Here is a 19796-nt window from a genome sequence, read left to right as displayed (position 1 = left end):
CCTATAGCCTTCATTTTGGAAGCAGGCAATAAAATTAGGAAGAGGATGAGCTGGGGGGAAACATACTGGTATTGATAATGTCATGACTATCAATAGAGATACAGGTATAAGTTCATGTCTGTTCCTGAGTCTGGATTATCTTGGCCAAAAAAGCTTTTCCTAAATGAAGACGAATGGAAGCTATATGGGTAATACTAAAATGGCTTTCAAAAAAAATACATTCATTTTAATTTAAATATACAAAAAGGGATGAAATACAGTATACTCAAAAACTAGACACCCTGTAGACCTAAAAAGCAACTAGACCTCAGAATAATAGATCTTACAAGATAATCATGTCTACCCAAAAGATTCCCCACAAAATGCCATCTACTCCTGTTTTATGATATGCTAGAGAGACAATGGTATGACTCTCATCCAAATTTGGTTTTGGTTTCTTGTTAACCAATTTTTAAAAGCTGAATTGGTAGCAAAGACATTGTATCAATTTAGGTGCTCATCAACAGTGCATTGGATAAAGAAAATGTGGTACATACATACAATAGAATACTGCACAGCCATAAAAAAGAACAAAATCATGTTCTTTGCAGCAACACGGATGCAGCTGGAGGCCATTATCCTAAGTGAAGTAATGCAAAAACAGAAAACCAAATACTGCGTGTTCTCACTTATAACTGGGAGCTATGCATTGGGTACACATGGACATAAAGACAGCAACAGGAGACACTAGGGACTACTTGAGGGAAGAGAGGGAGCGGGACAAGGGCTGAAAAACTACCTATTGGGTACTATGCTTAGTACCTGGGTGCCAGGTTCAATTGTACCCCAAACCTCAGCACCACACAATATACCTTTGTAACAAACCTGCACAGAAGAAACTATCCGTGGCCTATTCGATATCCCATGCTTCTTCCTTGCTAACACAATCCTAATTGTGTTTAGGTATTGAGCAGCAACATGCTGGGGAAAGCAGGCTTTGCTCTGGTGGATTATTGACCGTCTAAGTCATGGTCATTGCATTCTCTTTTGCTGGTGGTAGTTAGGTGTGTGATCTGCTTTTGGACAACGCTGGAACAATTTTATCTTTGGTAAGAAAGCACAAACAGAAACTGCTGTCACTTCCCTTTCTTCCTGCTTTTAGTTGGGGTAACAAAGATGCTTGGAGATGGGGTAGCATTAGTGCAGACATCACTGACACATTAAAGTTACAAAATGGGAAATCTGAAAAACTCTAGACTCTTTATGATGTTTCCAATCTGCTTCTCCAACCAATGCCAATCTCTAGACCACCTGTTAAGTGAGAAGCTACTGATCGGACCTTTTGTTTAAGCCACTTTTAGTTTGGATATGCTGTTACTTGCATCAGAAAAAAGCCGGAGAAAGATAATGTTACAACTCTCTTTAGTATCCTATTTTGATCTGTTTTTTAAAGTTTGCTGTTCATAATCGTTTCAGATATTAAATTAGAAACTTTTGAAAATATATAATTTACTGTTTACCTGCAGGACACTGAAAGTCATCCCTGCAGGAGGGCAAGAAATATAAAGAAATGCAGATCCCTTCCAGCAAGGACGTTTTATTCACATCATGGTTGGCTAGACACATACCTGCATTTGGAAGAGGAAGAGGCAGAAGACATCTTTTCTGTTGACCATGAGTGGTAGCAATGCTGCTTAGTCACTCATAGACTTCAGAGTTAAAAGAGGCAAAAAAAATCATTCCAGCTTCTGAAGGGTAAAGCTGGTATTCTTTGACCATATAGTTTTATAGGAAGTTTCATCTTTTCTCATCTCCAAGAGAAACTTCTATTTTAAAAGGTTTAAAGTGAGAAGCACTTTATTGATGATATTGGCCATGAAGCCAGAGGAGACACGTGCACACATCCAGCCTTGAGCCTTGGCAGCTTGCCTCCAAGCCCCACCACTTCAGGAGGCCAGGACAGGGCCAGGGAGATGGCTGTGATGCAGGACTAGATTTTGGTTTCCTGGCCATGAGGCTACTTCATTACTGCAGGGACATGTATCCCGGGAAAGCTAATGACCTCTCTCAAGAGCCAAATGAATTGAATACTTGGGTGAAGGATTTAGCCTTGAAAATGAGTTCCAGCCAGTAGTGAACCTACTGAGAATAAGGCAAATGGGCTTACAGAAATAATATAGTAATTCTAAATGTGTGCCTCCCTTTCCTGACTACAAGCAGCACTGAAATATGAACAGAAATAAATCTATTGTAAATAAAATTCCATTTTCCTATTGGCCTGTATATTTCAAAGATGATTTATCAAAAGGATTAATTTTCTAGGTGGTATTTGTTTTCAACCCTTTAGTTTAACTTAAAATTTTTCTTCTCCTTTCCCAAACTTTCCTCCCAAAATTAAATTGTATTATAGCATATTACATTGCATTACTAGAGGAATTCGCTCGTCCTTCACCCATTCATTCAATACACATTTAATGAGCACTTGCTAAATATCCAGGAAGCTGAGGTGAAAAACAGATCATCCTGGTCGTCACAAAGTTAATGCTCCTTAAGAAACTTGTAGTATGCAAATCAGTAATTGGAATAAAACGTGGCTCACACCTATAATCTCAACACTGGGAGGCTGAGGTAGGAGGATCACTTGAGCCCAGGAGTTCAAGGCCAGACTGGGTAACATGGCAAAACTCCATCTCTACAAAAAACACAAAAATTAGCCAGGCGGAGTGGTACACCTGTAGTCCCAGCTACTTGAGAGGCTGAGGTGGGAGGATCGCTTGAGCCTGGAGGGTTGAGACGACAGTGAGCCATAGTTGTGTCACTGCACTCAAGCCTGAGGGACAGAGTGAGACCCTGTCTCAAAAATAAGTAAATAAATAAGTGTCCACACCGAAGCACAGATGGGAGCAGCATTACTACAGAGGATGAACAAGGTCCCAGGATGAGCCATACCAGACAAAATAATCAACTTCACCTGGAGAGGAAGGAACTTCACACAGAAAGGAAGCTTTTCATTCAATACAGATTCCTTTACAGCATTAATAACCATTGCCAAAATCGATCCATTTTGTCATATTTTAATAGGCCAGTTTGTCTTAAAGCAGGACTTGGCTTAGGCAATATATCTACCCTATTTTATTTTAATTAGCTTTTCTTGAGAATATGGGTTTATTCACTTAGCTGTTCAGTCAAAAAACATTTTTATTGCCTACCATTATGTGGCAAGTAGGTAGGGCAATTCTGGTTCCCAATGTAAGTTAAAAACAAAAAAAAAAAGAAACTAGGATGGGCTTGAAGGGAATGAAAGTAATTGTCGTGGAGCCTTGTCAATTCCATATTGGTGGCTGAGAGAATACTCAGGAGCCTGGTCCTCATAAATCTGAAAATCAATTTTCTACCTTGGATTAAGAGACCAACTGGTACAAGCCACTTTCTTTTCAATTAAGGGAAGAATCTCAGTGCTATATTCAAATTAGTAACTGAGTTCCTGATGGAAACATCCCAATCAATATCATAATAATGATCTGATTTAGGGCCATACATTTGCATGCATACACATATAATCATATCCATGCACTTTTTTTTTCTTTTTGAGACAGAGTCTTGCTCTGTCACCCAGGTTGGAGTGCAGTGGCACGATCTTGGCGCACTGCATCCTCTGCCTCCCGGGTTCAAGCAATTCTCATGCCTCAGTCTCCTAAGTAGCTGGGATTATAGGCACGTGCCACCATGCCCAGCTAATTTTTGTATTTTTGGTAGAGATGAGGTTTTACCATGTTGGCTAGGCTGGTCTGGAACTCCTAATCTCAAGCGATCTGCCTGCCTCTGCCTCCAAAAGTGCTGGGATTACAGGTGTGAGCTACCATGCCTGGCCTTATCCATGCACTTTAAAGAGACTCATGCACACATTTCTTTCTTTTTTTTTTTTTCTTTTTTATTGAGATGAAGTTTCATTCTCATTGCCCAGACTGGAGTGCAATGGCGCAATCTCAGCTCACTGCAACTTCTGCCTCCCAGGTTTAAGCGATTCTGCATCATCCTTGCCTCCTGAGTAGCTGGGATTACAGGCATACACCACCATGCCCAGCTAATTTTTATTTATTTATTTATTTATTTTATTTATTTATTTATTTTAGTAGAGTTTATCTCACCATGTTGGCCAGGCTGGTCTCGAACTCCTGACCTCAGGTGATCCGCCCATCTCGGCCTCCCAATGTGCTGGGATTACAGGCATGAGCCACTGTGCCCGGCTTCATGGACACATTTAAAAGACTCCGCTGGCCGTCTCAGGCATGCTACCCTGAGTCCCAGCCTAAGAAAGGCTGGTGTTGAAAGCAAGCCTGGGAGGCAAAGAGACTCAGAGACCCAAGCCTTGTGTGTAATGGGAGTGGTAGAATGCACCGGAAGCTGTCAGAATGTGACAAGAGGAAGAGGGCATTTATTTTAAGGGTGTGGAGAGAAAAATAAATGAGGCTGCAATCAGATTCTTCATGCAGGGGCCAGGAGTTGAGAGGTGCCCCGTGCTTGTGTACAGAATTTTTTTAAAGAATACCCAAGCGGAGAACAAGGAGATATAATTTTTCTTGACACACCAATGTACAATAAGAACATATATTTAGCAACATTCGCCTCCCTGCACCCCAGGCAGCTGTTCAGCTCCAGCAAACACTCTTCCTTTCAGGCAGGGCAGGGGAAGTGTATGCTGCTTGTCTCTTGAGTCCTCAGTGAGAGCTGGGACCAGCATTCCAGAGCCCATCCGCTTCTCACCAGGCAGCAGGGGGTCAAACACAGCCGGTGCTTAGGAAGCAAGGTCAGAGAAGTTGCTCCAAGGGAAGACCAACTGGGGAGTCCTGTCTGATTTCGGCAGGAAGAACAAATCTGCTTTAATTTGGAAGCCACTCTCTGGTCAGGCTCTTAAGGACCCCAGTAGAGTTAAAATTTGCTTCTCTTATTATACCTCCTTAAAAGCAGGAAGCAGGAAAGGGAATCTCTTGAAATCATTCTTCCTTGCTCTGTGAGTCTATAACTCACCAGGCAAGTTTTGGCTGTCAGGGAAAGGTTTTATAGCTCCTGGAGGTAAGACTTCTGAGAAGTGGAAGATAGGATGTATCCATTTCAGGTGAGCCCACCATTTTCATGACATAGTGAACACCTGGTTTCCTAGGGTCATGGTCACCTTCTTGACAAATCTTGACAGGTGCCTTTGGGAATGCAAGTGGCAGTGAAAACAGCCAAGGAGAAGAAAGACCCTATGAAAATGTGATATATGATCCAGTCAAGAATAGGCTTTTTGTTTTCATTTTTATTTTGTTTATTTATTTAGAGACAAGGTCTCCCTCTGTTGCCTGGGCTGGAGTGCAGTGGTGAGATCACAGCTCACTGCAGCCTGGACCTTCTGGGCTCAAGTGATCCTCTCGCCTCTGTCTCCAGAGTAGCTGGGACCACAGGTGTGTGCCACCACACCCAGCTAATTTTTAAATTATTTTCTAGAGACAAAGTCTCACTGCGTTGCCCAGGCTGGTCTCAAACTCCTGGGCTCAAGCAATCCTCTGGCCTCAGCCTTCCAAAGTGTTGGGATTGCATGTGTGAGCCACTGCGCCCAGCCAAGGATATGTGTTTGTTGGATCCTTGATTCATTTGTTCATTCACTCACTGACATCTTCAGTATAGTATGCTGGTGCTGCTCAAAGCAGTCCTCCACTGTCAGGATCATCATGACTTGAGGGCTTGTCAGAAATACACATTCTTAGTCACTGCATAAAGTACTCCAGATAAAACCCGCAGATGTGGAGAAGCCAGCCCCCCACCCTGGACTATAGTTTTATAAATTTTTGAATTTATTTAATAAATTTAAAAAATACACATTCTTGGGTCCACCCCATATCTAGGGTTGTGGGAATTCTCTAAGACTAGGCAAGTGTGATGAAATGTCTTTTTTTTTTTTTTTTTTTTTTTTTTTTTTTTTTTGAGACAGAGTCTCACTCTGTCGCCCAGGCTGGGGTGCAGTGGTGCGATCTCAGCTCACTGCAACCTCCACCTCCAGGGTTCAAGCGATTCTCCTGCCTCAGTCTCCCAAGTAGCTGGGATTACAGGCACATGCCACCACACCCAGTTAATTTTTGTATTTTCAGTAGAGAAGAGTTTTGCAATATTGGCCAGGCTGGTCTCGAACTGCTGACCTCAAGTGACCTGCCCCCCGCTAGGCCTACTAAAATGTTGGGATTACAGGTGTGAACCACTGTGCCTGGCCGAGATGTCATTTTTGAGAAGAGGTTACAAAAGGATTTGGCTACAGTCTTGGCCACACTCTCCCTCACTTGCTGTGAGGGAAGCCATCTGCTACATTGAGAACAGCCTTTTGGGGAGGCCCATGTGGCAAAGAACTGACATCTCCTGTCAACAGCCAGTGAGGACCTGAAGTTCACCAACAGCCGTGGGCATGAGCTTGGAATTGGTTCCTCCTCCAGTCAAGCCATGAGGTGACTGCAGCCCCTAACATGTAGACTGGAGCCTTGTGAAAGACTCTGCGCTACAGTGCCCAGTTAAGCAGTGCCCAGATTCCTGACCCACAGAAACTGTGAGATGGTAACTAGGTAACTAATACAACTACTGAATCAGAAATTCTGCAAAGTGGCCTGGCATGGTGGCTCACACCTGTAATCCCAGCACTTTGAGAGGCCGAGGCAGGCAGAGCACCTGAAGTCAGGAGTTCGAGACCACACTGGCCAACATGGTGAAACCCCGTCTCTACTAAAAATACAAAAAATTAACCAGGTGTGGTGGCACATGCCTGTAGTTCCAGCTACTCGGGAGGCTGAGGCAGGAGAATCGCTTGAACTTGGGAGGTGGAGGTTGCAGTGAGCTGAGATCGCGCCATTGTACTCCAGCCTGGGTGACAAGAGCGAAACTCCATCTCAAAAAAAAAAAAAAAAAAAATTCTGCAAAATGAGTCCCTGGAATGTGTATTTTAACATGTTCTGCAGGTGATTCTCATAGACAGTAGTTTGAGAAGCACTGCTGTGACAAAGTTAAGAGCAAGGGCTTTTGAGCCAGACTGCCTAAGTTCAAATCCCAGCTCGAGTACTTCTCAGCTGTAAGAGCTCAAGTGAATTACATACCTCTCTGGGCTTTAGTTTCTTTTGTAAAATGTTGCTAATAATAGTACATACCTTCTGAGTTGTAAAGAGAATTAATTGGGTTAATATATTTAAAGCATTTAGCTTATTGCCTGGCAACAGCAAGCACAATAAATTCAGTGATGATTCATTCATTCAACAAACATTTATAAGGCCCCCAACTAAGGGTAGGCATTGTGCTAGATGCTGGAGTTACCAGGATTCAGTAGACATGATCCACTTCTCCTGGCACTGTTGTCCTATAGGGGAGGTGGCCATATAAAAGAATAGACACAGTAATGGTTTAAAGATGCTACAATTGAGTTCCCCACAGAGTGAAGTGGAGCCCAGAAGAGGTCAGTTTTATCCTGGATGAAAGCATTAATACAAAGCTTAGTAAATTGGATAGTGAGGGGTTGGAAAAGAATAGAAGATTTGGGCTTGCATCCCCCAAGCCCCTTACCTTAGTCTTTCTGAATCTCTAGAGCTTCCTTTTCATGTGGACAACAGACAAACCTACTGTCACGAACAGCCTCTTCAGACAGGAGCTGCACAAATGCAGGGCCTGGGTATCTCAGTCACAAGGCTCTAGCCATTTGGTTCTGTTTTCTGCTTCTAGACCAGTCAGCTCAGCTCAGCTCAGCTCAGCTCAGCTCAACTTAGGGTGTTTGCATCTGCTTTTCCCTTTCTCTGAAAGATTCTTCCCCCTAATCCTTTCAATGTTGGCTCCTTCCTGTCCCTGCCTAAATGCCTCCTCAGAGAAGTCTTCCTATTTACTGTGTTTAAATAGCATCTCCATTTCAGAGCCCGTATCATTTCCTGAGTAGTACTAGCATTTAGCACTTACTTATTTGTTCATTTCTCTGTTCACCATTGTCTCCCTGGGTAGACTTCACGGTCTCTAAGGGCTAAGACTTGGTCTTTCACGCACCATGATGCACACCAGGGGACACAGTAGGTATTCAATAAATATTTGTTACTGAATGGGTAAATGGATGAATGAACATGTCCTTTCACAGCCACTGCAACATTTCGGCATGATTTGCTGAAATGTCCGTCTTAATTATGACAGACGTTAATTCAAATTCTGGAAGATGTAACTGCTGAAAAACCAGTATGTGAAACCCAGTCACTTTAAGGGTCTGCCAGAGATTTGGGGAGGGATGGGAGAGTGAGAGGACATCATAATAATTAACATTTACTGGCCAGGCACGGTGGCTCACTCCTGTAATCCCAGCACTTTGAGAGGCCTAGGCGGGTGGATTACTTGAGGTCAGGAGTTTGAGACCAGCCTGGCCACATGGTGAAACCCTGTCTCTACTAAAAATACAAAAATTAGCTGGGCTTGGTGGCAGGCGCCTGTCATTTCAGCTACTCGGGAGGCTGAGGCAAGAGAATTGCTTGAACCCAGGAGGCAAAAGTTGTAGTGAACTGAGATCGTGCCACTGCACTCCAGTCTGGGTGACAAAGTGAGACTCCATCTAAAAAAAAATATTGAAAAAAAACCCCCACATTTACTGAGTACCTCCTCCAGGATGCGGGCAAGGTGTTACGTGTTTTATATGCATTATCTCATATGCATCTGAAGTAGTCATCATCATTCTTTTTCGGGTAGGAGCAAATGAAGAAACTGAGGCTTAGAGCTCTTAAGTAACTTGCCTGAAGTCAGAGCCAGTGTGGCGTAGAGCCACAACTGAATGCAGGCAGTCAGACTCCAATACTGTTGTGTTTAACCACTATTCTCTCCTGCCTCCAAAGAAATGCAGTTCGTTAAGTAAATATTCTGCACAAATTAAAGTGTACACAGTCGAACAACTATCTGATACTATAACACCAGACCAGATTGGGAAATACCTGAAAGGTTTTTCAAGGCTGCAGGCAGGAGATCTTATCCATGAACATAGGAAGTGGGCTGTGGTCAGGCAAGTGGTAGCTTATTCATTGCGGCCCCTTCCCCTGCCCAGGGGTCCCATGTTGTTTGGAAGAAAGGGAGTCCATAGTGCAGTAGAAAGTCACGTCACCTCCAATTGACTAGGGAGCTTGTTCTCACCTACAAAACAAGTTTGGTAGTCTCTTCCTAAACCCTTCAAGGATTAGCATTCTCCTTGTCAAGGTGGCATGTAATTTACAGCAATTGGCAGTTCCTGTTGCAACAAATTCCAAGATCAGACTAGTCAAAGTGGGGGAAGGGGCAGTGACAGGTCAGATCAGAGCTTAGGTAGAGAAGTTGGTGGGGGTTAGAGGTGGAGAGGGGGTAGGGGGAGGGGAAGCTTTACAAAGCAGTGGGGACTGTCTGTGTTGAGCCAAGAGCAGTCTTTGATGGATGGTTCCCATTAGCAACAAGTCTCCACAGGCCAAAATGAACAAGAAAGGAACCAGGCTTATCCAGTCTTAAACAGGACTAAAGTCTGCATTTTTCCCGTGTCATAAGGAATTATTGGGCCAGCAGCCAGGGTAGGCTATCATAGGCTAAAATCCTCAGTAGGAGAGAACAATTAGAGAACGATGAATTATGCTTCTGATGACAATTCCCTTCTCAGGACTTACTTAAAGCCAGAATGTATATTTCTAGTGTGCTTTAGTGAGGTTTAAATATTCAGATTTTCAAAGAGAGAAGGCCTCTGCTGAAATTTACATAGAAATATGTCAAAATATATTTAGTCTTCTTTATACCTTTTTCTTTACAGTTCCTGAGTTGCCTGCACTTCTACAATGTGATCACTCGCTGGGAAATGAAGAAAGCAAGTGTCTGAAGAGACAGAAGTTGAGGTAGAATAGCTGGGAGGTTGGTATTCTGGGGCTGGCCTAATGTCATGCAGAGTGTATAATTGGAGGAATAGTTTAGTTTGTATAGATTGCAAGTTTTCAGAATAATGGCTTACGGAGGCCAGAGTTCCCAGCCATGCAGACTTTTGTAGATATATGTATACACTTTTACCTATTTGGAAAGGCTACAAGCATTGTGAAAATGAGCTGGAAACTTGCTCTAAACATCTCAAGAAACCAGAATTCAGAGAAATAGAGGAAATTCAACCAAAGAAACAACCTTGGAGCATCCAGGGATCATTTGGATAACTAGCTCTATGGTCCATCTTATTCGTGTGCTCATAACAAGTTAGCCCATACACTATACACAGATCACCAACTATAAATGATTTAGACTATCATAAACGCACTTAACTCACTGAAGTAGGACTGGACATGATTTAACCTCACTTGAGTGAGTTGGCAGGTACTTTAAGACCTTCCAGGGTCTCATGATTATCATTGTGAGCACCAATAATTACTGTACCATAGTTGCATAGAAGTGCCAGATGATAAATAATATTCAGCTGACATCAGGTGAGAGAAGCTTCATTCTGTGGGGTATCAGAAGTTTAAAAAGAAGAAAAAAGAAGTCAAGGCATCGTTGGCAGACAATTGCATAATAAAAAGTGCTAAAATCCAACAGGAAAAATGTACATGAATTGTGGGTGACTTCCTGATTTCATCACCTTCAATAGTTGACATTTTCATTTCTCATTTTCTTCCAGTGACTCCATCTATAAATGGATCTACAAATGTTAATAAGGACCCGCACAAATGTAGCCTCTTCCTTCCCTTGTAAATTACAGCACGGAGCCGGTTTTATGGTGATTATTTCTTTCCATGTCTGTTTCTCCTCCTGGAGTGTGAGTCTCTAGAAGGCAGGGTGTGAGTCTCTATGTGGCACACACATTCTTTAGGAAAATCTTTAAAGAAAACAGAAGATACCAAGATAAGCAAGCAGGGTAGAGCTTCTGTATCTTCCACTAGGGGTCAGTAAAACTTTTATGAGAATCCTACAGTGGCATCCTGACTTAGAGAAGGGCAATTTCTTGTCACCATTTGTCCCTCAGAAAACACCCACAAGAGGCTGTCCTATCACTGGAAAAAGTAGCTCATTCCAAGTTGTTAAACACACATGAAAAGCACAGCCAAATATGTATTAGACTAGCATGTCAGTATATCAAACATCAGAATTTACATCAGAGACAAAAGTCTCAGCTTAAATGCATAGTTTTGATAAATACTAAACACGCTATCTTGCTAATGAGCAATCACTGGCTAATTGTCCAGTGACTAGGGCTAATTATCTTGACTCTGGTTGTCATAGTGCCTGTATCATAAAAATAAGATTTGAAGTTTCCCTTCTCCTTCTGACTTGATATCCAGGTTTGCAATAGTGCTTATTGTAATATTATACAGGAATGTAGATGGAATTTATTAGAAATAAAGACTTTTGAAAATATGTACTAGATAAATAAACTCGACTCGCTGCCCTACCAACAGCTAGGGGTGAGCTGTTGAAAATTGAAATCAGATCATATCATTCCCCTACTTGAAATCCTCCAAGGCCTTCCCACTCCTAAAATAAAATCCAACACATCATCTGGCCTGTAGTGCCAGGGCAGGCCAAGGTTCCTGCAGCTTCTCTGATCTCATCTCTTGCCCCTTGTTCCTGCACTCATTACACTCCAGCCACAATTACTTTATCTGCTGATGCTTTAACTCAGTGGTTATCAAACAGTGGTCCCTGGATCTGCAGCATCAGCCTTGCCTGGGAAGTTGTTAGAAATGCAAATTCTTGGGCCACACCCCAGGTCTACTGAATCAGAAATTCTAGGGGTGGGATTTGGCGATCTGTGTTTTAACCAGACCATCAAGTGATTTGTTACATGCTGAAGTTTGAAAAACACTGTTCTAATTCTTCAAATTCCTTTCTGCCTTAAGATCTTTGCACTGGCCAGATCCTGGGCCTGGTACACTCTTCCCAAGGCTCTTTCCAAATCAGTCTCATGGCAGCTGCTGAAATGTTAGCTTATCACAGAGACCTTCATTGACCATCCTGTTTAAAGTGAGCCTTCTTACTCTTCCTCATCCCAATCTATGCCATTCTTCTTTTAATTTCTCCATAGAACTATCTGAAATGATCTTCCTAATTTATTTACTTATTATTTTATTTTTGAGACAGACTCTTTTTCTGTCACCCAGGCTGGAGTACAGTGGCACGATTTCAAATCACTACAGCTTCCAATGCAACCCGGTACCACCACGCCCGGTTAATTTTTGTATTTTTAGTAGAGATGGGGTTTCGCTGTGTTGGCCAGGCTGGTCTCAAACTCCTGACCTCAAGTGATCTGCCTGCCTGAGTCTCCCAAAGTGCTCGAATTACAGGTGTCAGCCACCCGACCTGGCCTACTTATTATTTTATTATCTATCTCAGCTATTAGAATGAGAGTAGACACCTTGTTTGTCTTTTATACTATGTACCCTGAGTTCCTAGAACATGGGCACATAATAGGTTCTCAATAAAAGTTCCTTAAATAGATGTCTATGAGATTTTTCTGATATAGCTTGCCTTGAAGAAAGGAGATAAATTTAGATTCTCTAAAGGAAGCTGCAGTCTTGTGGCAGAGCCCTGGCATGAAGCCAGAAAATGAGGGTCAAATTCTAAATTCTCCACATTAAAATTAGCTGACCTTAACCAAGTTCTTCAACTAGATTAGTGGGTCTCAACTGGAGGTTATTTTGCTTCCAGGAGACATTTTTGGCATCCCAACTTGTGACGCAGGTGGGAGTGCTGTTGGGCACCTAGTGGGTAGAGGCAACGGATGTGGATCCCACAATGCACAGGACGGCCTCTTCCAACAGAGAGTTATGTGGAGCAAAATACCAACAGTGCCCAGGCTAGAAACCCTGAACCAGGCCGGGCCTGAACCAGGCTCACGCCTGTAATTCCAGCACTTTGGGAGGCCAGGTGGGCAGATCACGAACTAGGTCAGGATGAGACCAGCCTGGCCAACATGGTGAAATCCCACCTCTACTAAAAATACAAAAATTAACCAGGCATGGTGGCATGTACATGTAGTCGTGCTGCTGCACTCCAGCCTGGGCGATAGAGCAAGACTCCATCTCGGGAAGAAAAAAATAAAACAAAAACACGACCAGATTCTTAATTTTTTGTCAAACAGGGATAATGTTCTTTTCCTACTTCGCGGGGTTCCGGTGATATTCAAACAAAAATTCTTCTGAAAGTGTTTTGTAAATGACAAAAGACTCTAGGCAGATACCCCCTGGTACAGGCTATCTGCTCAATGAATATCCGTTCAAGGACTATGTGAATGAATTGCCAAGAGCCCCCTCCTAGGATTGAGTTTCAGTTTCTTCATTTGTGACAACTGATAAGGAGAATACCTGTGTCTTAGGAACCTTGCAAGGATCAAAGAGATAACACCAGTAAAGCACCTGGCGCAGGATTTGACACATACATGCATGAATTTCCCTTGTTTTGCTCCTGGTTAGCTTCCTGCTTGGCTATCTTGGGAGGCCTGGTGGGGCCTCCTACTTCTACTTGTTTTCCTTCCACTTGTTTGCTTCCTTCTCAGCGGAGTTCCATCTTCCTCTTTCCCAAGCTCTTCCCTTCCTGGACCCACCTGGTCTATACAGGGCATCCTTGACTATTTCAGCTGGAAAGATATCACCACATCTTAGCCTGCATTTTTCTGGATGAAGCTCTCAAGCCCTAGCATTCAGAAACAATGTTACAAGTTTCCTCAGGTTCCTGGCAAAGAGGCAACTAGAAATTAGGCTTCTGTTTTCTGGCTGGGAATCTCTAGATTCATCATTACTGCTCCAGGATGCCTGAACTTTTGTAGACCTGATTGTCTTTTCCCACCTTCTATATCCTATCAGTATAAACCTAGCAGAGTTTCCTGTTCTTTCTAGAAGCTAGAAATGCTTACTGCTAGAGGTTCCATCAGATATCACCAAAACCTTACAATGTGCCCACATCAAATAAAAATTTTGTATACGTTTATGAAGATTGGATTGCCTTGCCAGTTGACCTAGGGTTACATTTTAGGGAATTTAAACATTTACTAATTCCAATACTTCAGCTTGTTTTCATATTTTAGAGCCAATCAATTATTTTTTTCTATAGCAAATAGAATTGTAGACCATTGATAAACATATGTTTCTGCAGTGCTTTCTACATTAAAAAGAAAAATAGTCTCCTTTGCTTTGCTTCCATTGGCTATTTTTCCGTTTTTCCCTTTTTCTGTTGGTTTATAACAGTCAATGACCATTTCAGAGTTTGCAAAGAATCTGGAAACCAGTGTGTGTTTGATGGGCGATATTCCACGTATTTAATACTGTGGACTTGCAAATATGATCACATCTCATGTACTTGTGTCCACATTTGTCCAGGAGTGTGATGATTAAATCTTGCACCTGCCGTGTGCATTGCGGACTGCAAAATTTTTCTCGTACATTATTATTTTGTTCTCATTTGATTCTTACAGTAATTCAGTGAGCTAAGCATGCCATATTACAGTTACTCTTGATTTTACCAATGAGAAACCAAAGCTTAGGGAAGTGAAATGACTTGTTCAAGGTTACATTTTCTGGGTCCTTTTGTGCCACACTGTTTTCAGGTTTTTAGACAGCCCTGGGGAAAAAGTACCTCTGGAAAAGGAAATTAAGCAAGGCTTGAATGCTTGGGCTACTTTAGCTTCGTGTGTGTGTGTGTGTGTGTGTGTGTGTGTGTGTGTGTGTGATGATAGAACTCTAGCCTTAAATATTCTCTTATTTGCCCTACAGACAATAAGATCAGATTAATTAATTAGTTCCACAAGTGTTTATTTAGTGACGGACAGTGTTGGAACTGTTGAGGATATAACACTGAACAAAAGACCAAGTCCTTGCCCCATGGAACTCACATTCTCTATGCAACACATCAATAATAAATAGAATGTCAGGTACTGATTAGTGCTAAGAAGAAAAGTAAAGGTGGGTGAGGGGATCGGCAAATAGAAGGGGTGCTGCTGTTTTATTTAGGGTGGTTAGAGAAGGCCTTAATAGTAAGGTGGCATCTGAGGAGAGACTTGAAGGAAGTGAGGGAGTGCGCTAGGTGGACTGGGGTGCAGACTGGCAGAGACAAGTGTGTGCAGGGGCCCTGAGGCAGGGACATGTTTCCCATGCATGACAAATAACAAGGTCACCAGCCTGGCTGGAGCACAGTGAGTAGATCAGGAGGGAGGGAGAGAGATATAGGCAGGAAATGGGGTGAGAGGATGCGGTGAGGGGAGGTGAGGGACGGTTAAGAAAAATCCTGCAGGACCTTGCAGGTAATTGAAAGGGCTTTATCTCTTAGTGGAGAGAGACAGGGATCCCTTGAGGGCTTTGACCAGAGGAGTTACATGGTTTGAAACACATCATTGTTAAAGGATTTACAATGGACCAGCTTGCCCTCTGTGAAGATAATCCTGGTTAGTAATATTTCCACTTCAAACCACAGACTGAGTCTTGCTTTGAGGACTACCAAGGGGCCTTTAAGAAAGATTTTTCATCAGATTTATTGGGATATGATTGACAAATAAAAACTGTATATACATTGACGATGTTCAACATGATTTGATGTATGTATACATTGTGAAATGATTACTATTATCAAGCCAATTAACCCAACTGTCATGGCACATAGTTATCTTTGTGTGTATGTGTACGTGTGTGTGTGGTGAGAGTACTTAAGATGTACTGTCTTAGCAAATTCCAGGTATACAATACAGCATTATTAACCACAGTCACCATGCCGTATGTTAGATCCCCAGAACTTAGTCGTCTTATAACTGAATGTTTATATTCTTTGACTAACATCTCCCGATTGCCCCAAACTCCCAGACCATGGCAACCACCATTATACTCTCTGCTTCTGTGAGTTTGACTTTTTTAGGTTCCACATATGGGTCAGATCCACACAGAAGTGCAGTATTTGTGTTTCTATATCTTGCTTCTTTCACTGAGCATAAGGTTCATCCCTGTTGTCGCAACTGGTAGGATTTCCTGCTTCTTATGGCTGAATAATATTCCATTGCATATATGTACCACATTGTCTTTATTCATTCATCAATCAACAGACATTTGGGTTGTTGCCACGTATTGGTTATCGTGAATAACACTGTAGTGAACACGGGAATGCAGATATCTTTTTGACATGTTGATTTCATTTCCTTTGGATATATACCCAGAAGTAAGATTGCTAGATGATATATGGTAATTACACTTTTAAATTTTTGAGAATTTCCCTATCATTTTCTACAATGGCCATATGAATTTACAGTCCCACCAACAGTGTGCAAGGGTTCTGTTTTCTTCATGTTGCCCCATTGTTATCTTTTGTCTTTCTGATTACAGCCATTCTAATAGGTATGAGGTAGTATCTCACTGTGGTTTTAATGTGTATTTCCCTGATAATTAACGATGTTGAACACATTTTTATATACCCATTGGCCATTTGAATGTCTTTTTTGAAAAATGTTTATTTAGGTCCTTTGCTTTTTTTTTTTTTTTTTGCTATTGAGTTGTGTGAGTTCTTTGTATATTTTGGATATTAACCCCATATCAGCATTTGGTTTGCAAATATTTCCTTTCCTTCTGTTGGCTGCCTTTTCATTTGTTGATTGTTTCCTTTACTGACTGTGCAGAAGATTGTTAGTTTGATGTATTTCACTTGTTTATTTTTGCTTTTGTTGCCTGTACTTATGAGCTCTTTCTTTTCGAGTTTGTACAAGTGCTGTGATGAAGCTGAATTTTACTAAGTCATTCATTCATTTGAATCAGTGATTGAGCTTCACTTAAGTGCCAGGTACTGCCCTTGGCATTTGGGATAAAGGAGTGAGTAGGACAAACAGTGCTCCTCCTCTCAGGGGCTTCCTTACTGTGAAAAGTTAACAAGCAAACGAACAGAGGAGATTTCAGCTAATAAGGGTTAGGAAAAAATAAAACAGAGGAGACAAAATGATGATACCATTGTAGGGGCTACTTTTAAGATTACAGTTGGAGTTTGAAAAGTGGAACTTAGGCTAATGGTGTTACACATGTAGAGCAATTTACAGTTTACAAATTGAGGCCAGGCACGGCGGCTCACGCCTATAATCCTAGCACTTTGGGAAGCTGAGGCAGACGGATCACATGAGGTCAGGAGTTCGAGACCAGCCATGGCCAACATGGCAAAACCCCATCTCTACTAAAAATACAAAAATTAGCCGGGTATGGTGGCGGTTGCCTGTAATCCCAGCAATTCGGGAGACTGAGGCAGGATAATCACTTGAACCCGGGAGGTGGAGGTTGTAGTAAGCTGAGACCACACTGCTGCACATTCCAGCCTGGGTAATAGAGCAAGACTCTGTTAAAAAGAAAAGAAAGAAAAAAAAAACTGCTGGCAAGAAAGATATTATTATCCTGACTTTTCAAACGAGAAACTGGAGGTCCACTGAAATTAAGCCACATGCCCAAGGTACTAGTAAATGGCAGATCTGGGGTCTGAATTCAAGTTTTCTCTAATTGTCAGCACCAAAGTTTTTCTGACAGTACACAACACTTTGGGATGTACAAGTAGAGATGGGTAACACTGGGGTCTGGGATAAGGAAATTAGCCATAATTAGGCAAGAAAAGCAGGAAGCACATGCCAAAACATAAACAGAACACAAAAGAGCAAGGAGGGTAGCTAGCTCCCCCTAAGGTCATGCAAAACAACTGGCAAGATATAGAGGGGCCAGGCGAGGTGGCTCATGCTGTAATCCCAGCACTTTGGGAGGCCAAGGTGGGCAGATCACTTGAGGTCAGGAGTTCGAGACCAGCCTTGCCAATACAGCAAAACCCCATCTCTACCAAAAATAAACAAAAATTAGCCAGGGCTGGTGGTGCACACCTGTAATCCCAGCTACTCCGGAGGCTGAGGGAGGCAAATCACTTGAATCTGGGAGGCAGAGTTTCTAGTGAGCCGAGATCCTGCCACTGCACTCCAGCATATATATATATATATATATATATATATATATAGAGAGAGAGAGAGAGAGAGAGAGAGAGAGAGAGAGAGAGAGAGAGAGAGAGCACCTCCAGTCCCACAGCCCCACTTCACAGGGCTGAGATAATCTGCACCCTGATCAGAAGAGAAGGCCTCCTGCCTTGAACTGTTGTTCTTAGCAACTTGGGCTGGGGGGAGCTTTGGGTCACATGTGGTTTCAATCACTGCCTTTATCTGCATCATTGTCACTGTATTTGGAAGATGACTGAATCCTTATTCCTGTCCCAGGCCTCTCTACATTGTGCAGGGGGTTCAAGTCAAATCTGGAAAAGCTGTCTCATCTTTGGCAGGTCAGAAATAGGGAGAGGCTTCACGAATGTATAGTAATGTCCCACCCATGCCCCTTCCCTGCTTTATTAAAACAAATCTGAAACAACAGAGGTCTGAAACTTTCCACTCTATCATTTCATACTGCCTTGTTATAACCCTGCCCTTCATCCACACCCCGCTGGGGTTTTTGCAGCCTGAGGGAAGCCGGGAAGTGTCTGCTCCTAGCTCTCAGTCACTCCCATAATAAACAATCACTAAACAGCCGGCTGCCCTAGGCAACTGTCTAGCTTGCCCGAGCCCTGAGACTTTAGCTAGGCCAGAGGGTGGGAGGTGTTTTCTGTAAAGCAGTGTTCAGGATCTGAGGCCAGGGAGTTTGACTTTGACCAGAGATACTGTTTGGGAGCCTAGCACATCTTTGTGGACCTGGAGGATCTTTAGCGGGACTGCTCCTCGGTTACCTGAGTTATCTAATGAAGTTCTTCCACTGGGAGTGGCAGGAGCTTGGGCCAAGGAGTGGGAGGTCAGTGAGGGAAGGACCAACTATTTGGCACTAATTGTACATAAGGTAGTTTTCCTGATGCAAGTGTTCCTTCTATAGCTGGGACAGTTGGCAATTCTACCAGTCATATGTCCTTAAGAGATATCTTTAACACCACCACCACCACCACCACCACCAAGAGAATAACATCACTTTGAGGACTGGGGCAAGCTTAAATTAACTGGTTTCCCTGCAGCCATTAGAAAATTTATTTTTTCTCTGTGATTGGATCTCTTGGAAGCTTTCTTCATAATAGACAGAGGGGGCTCAGGCAAGGCGGCCTAAGTAGATAATGAGGATTTAGGATAGCCGTCTTACACTCTTAGCACAGAGGCAGGCATGAAGAATTGCAACAATTCCTCTTGATTGTAATAATTCCTCTTTATTGTTGGGCATTGGGGTGTTTCTTTGGTTTAAAAAAATGTGCTATGTAGAGGAGGAGTAAGGGGAGATTGTTTTAATGCTTAGCAGAAAATTGAAATACTGGGTCTCGGAGAGTGGAAGGAGGGCTGGGAGAGGCAGCTTTCGGATCGGCGGTCGCTTTCTATGAAGTCTTCCTTTCCTCCCTGCTTCCCTCCTTCAAAGCATCTTTCTCTAGGCGTTCCGGCAGGCAGCCCAGGAGGCCAGATTCTCCAGGGCGCCCGGGGCCGCGCGGCACGGGGCCCCTGCCGGTGCCTCCTTCCCCGGCCGCCGCGTTTCCGCAGGCGCCTCTGGTCCCCGGCACGGCGCAGGCCGAGATCCGGGCCTGGGCGCGCCGAGGGGCCGCGGGGCTCGCACCGGGCCGTCCCGCGCTCCACCTGCCCGGCAGCCCGCCGGCAGCTTGCAACCCGGGAGCCCCGGCTCCCTGCGCCCCCTACGCCCCCAACGCCGCGCCGGCGCCTCGGCCCGCGGCCGGGGGTTATGAATGGGCGCAGCGGAAGCACCGCCCCCCCCGGACGTGACGCTCGGCCAATGGCAGCGCGGGCTGCGTGGATGGATGAGGTCAGCGCTGTCGTGTCGGGAATGGAATGT

At 43.3% G+C, this 19796-nt stretch overlaps 1 annotated feature.

The window, feature by feature from the left end:
* Positions 19400–19779: a silencer, noted in NCBI's record as "silent region_19479". NCBI's record gives its function as "represses an Ori minimal core promoter by ATAC-STARR-seq in GM12878 lymphoblastoid cells {active_cell/tissue: GM12878}" and the evidence as "EXISTENCE:reporter gene assay evidence [ECO:0000049][PMID:35858748]".

Source organism: Homo sapiens, chromosome 8, assembly GCF_000001405.40.
Source record: "Homo sapiens chromosome 8, GRCh38.p14 Primary Assembly".
Lineage (NCBI taxonomy): Eukaryota > Metazoa > Chordata > Mammalia > Primates > Hominidae > Homo > Homo sapiens.
The sequence above is the reverse complement of the archived record's forward strand: the minus strand, read 5'-3'. Positions and strand labels throughout refer to the sequence as shown.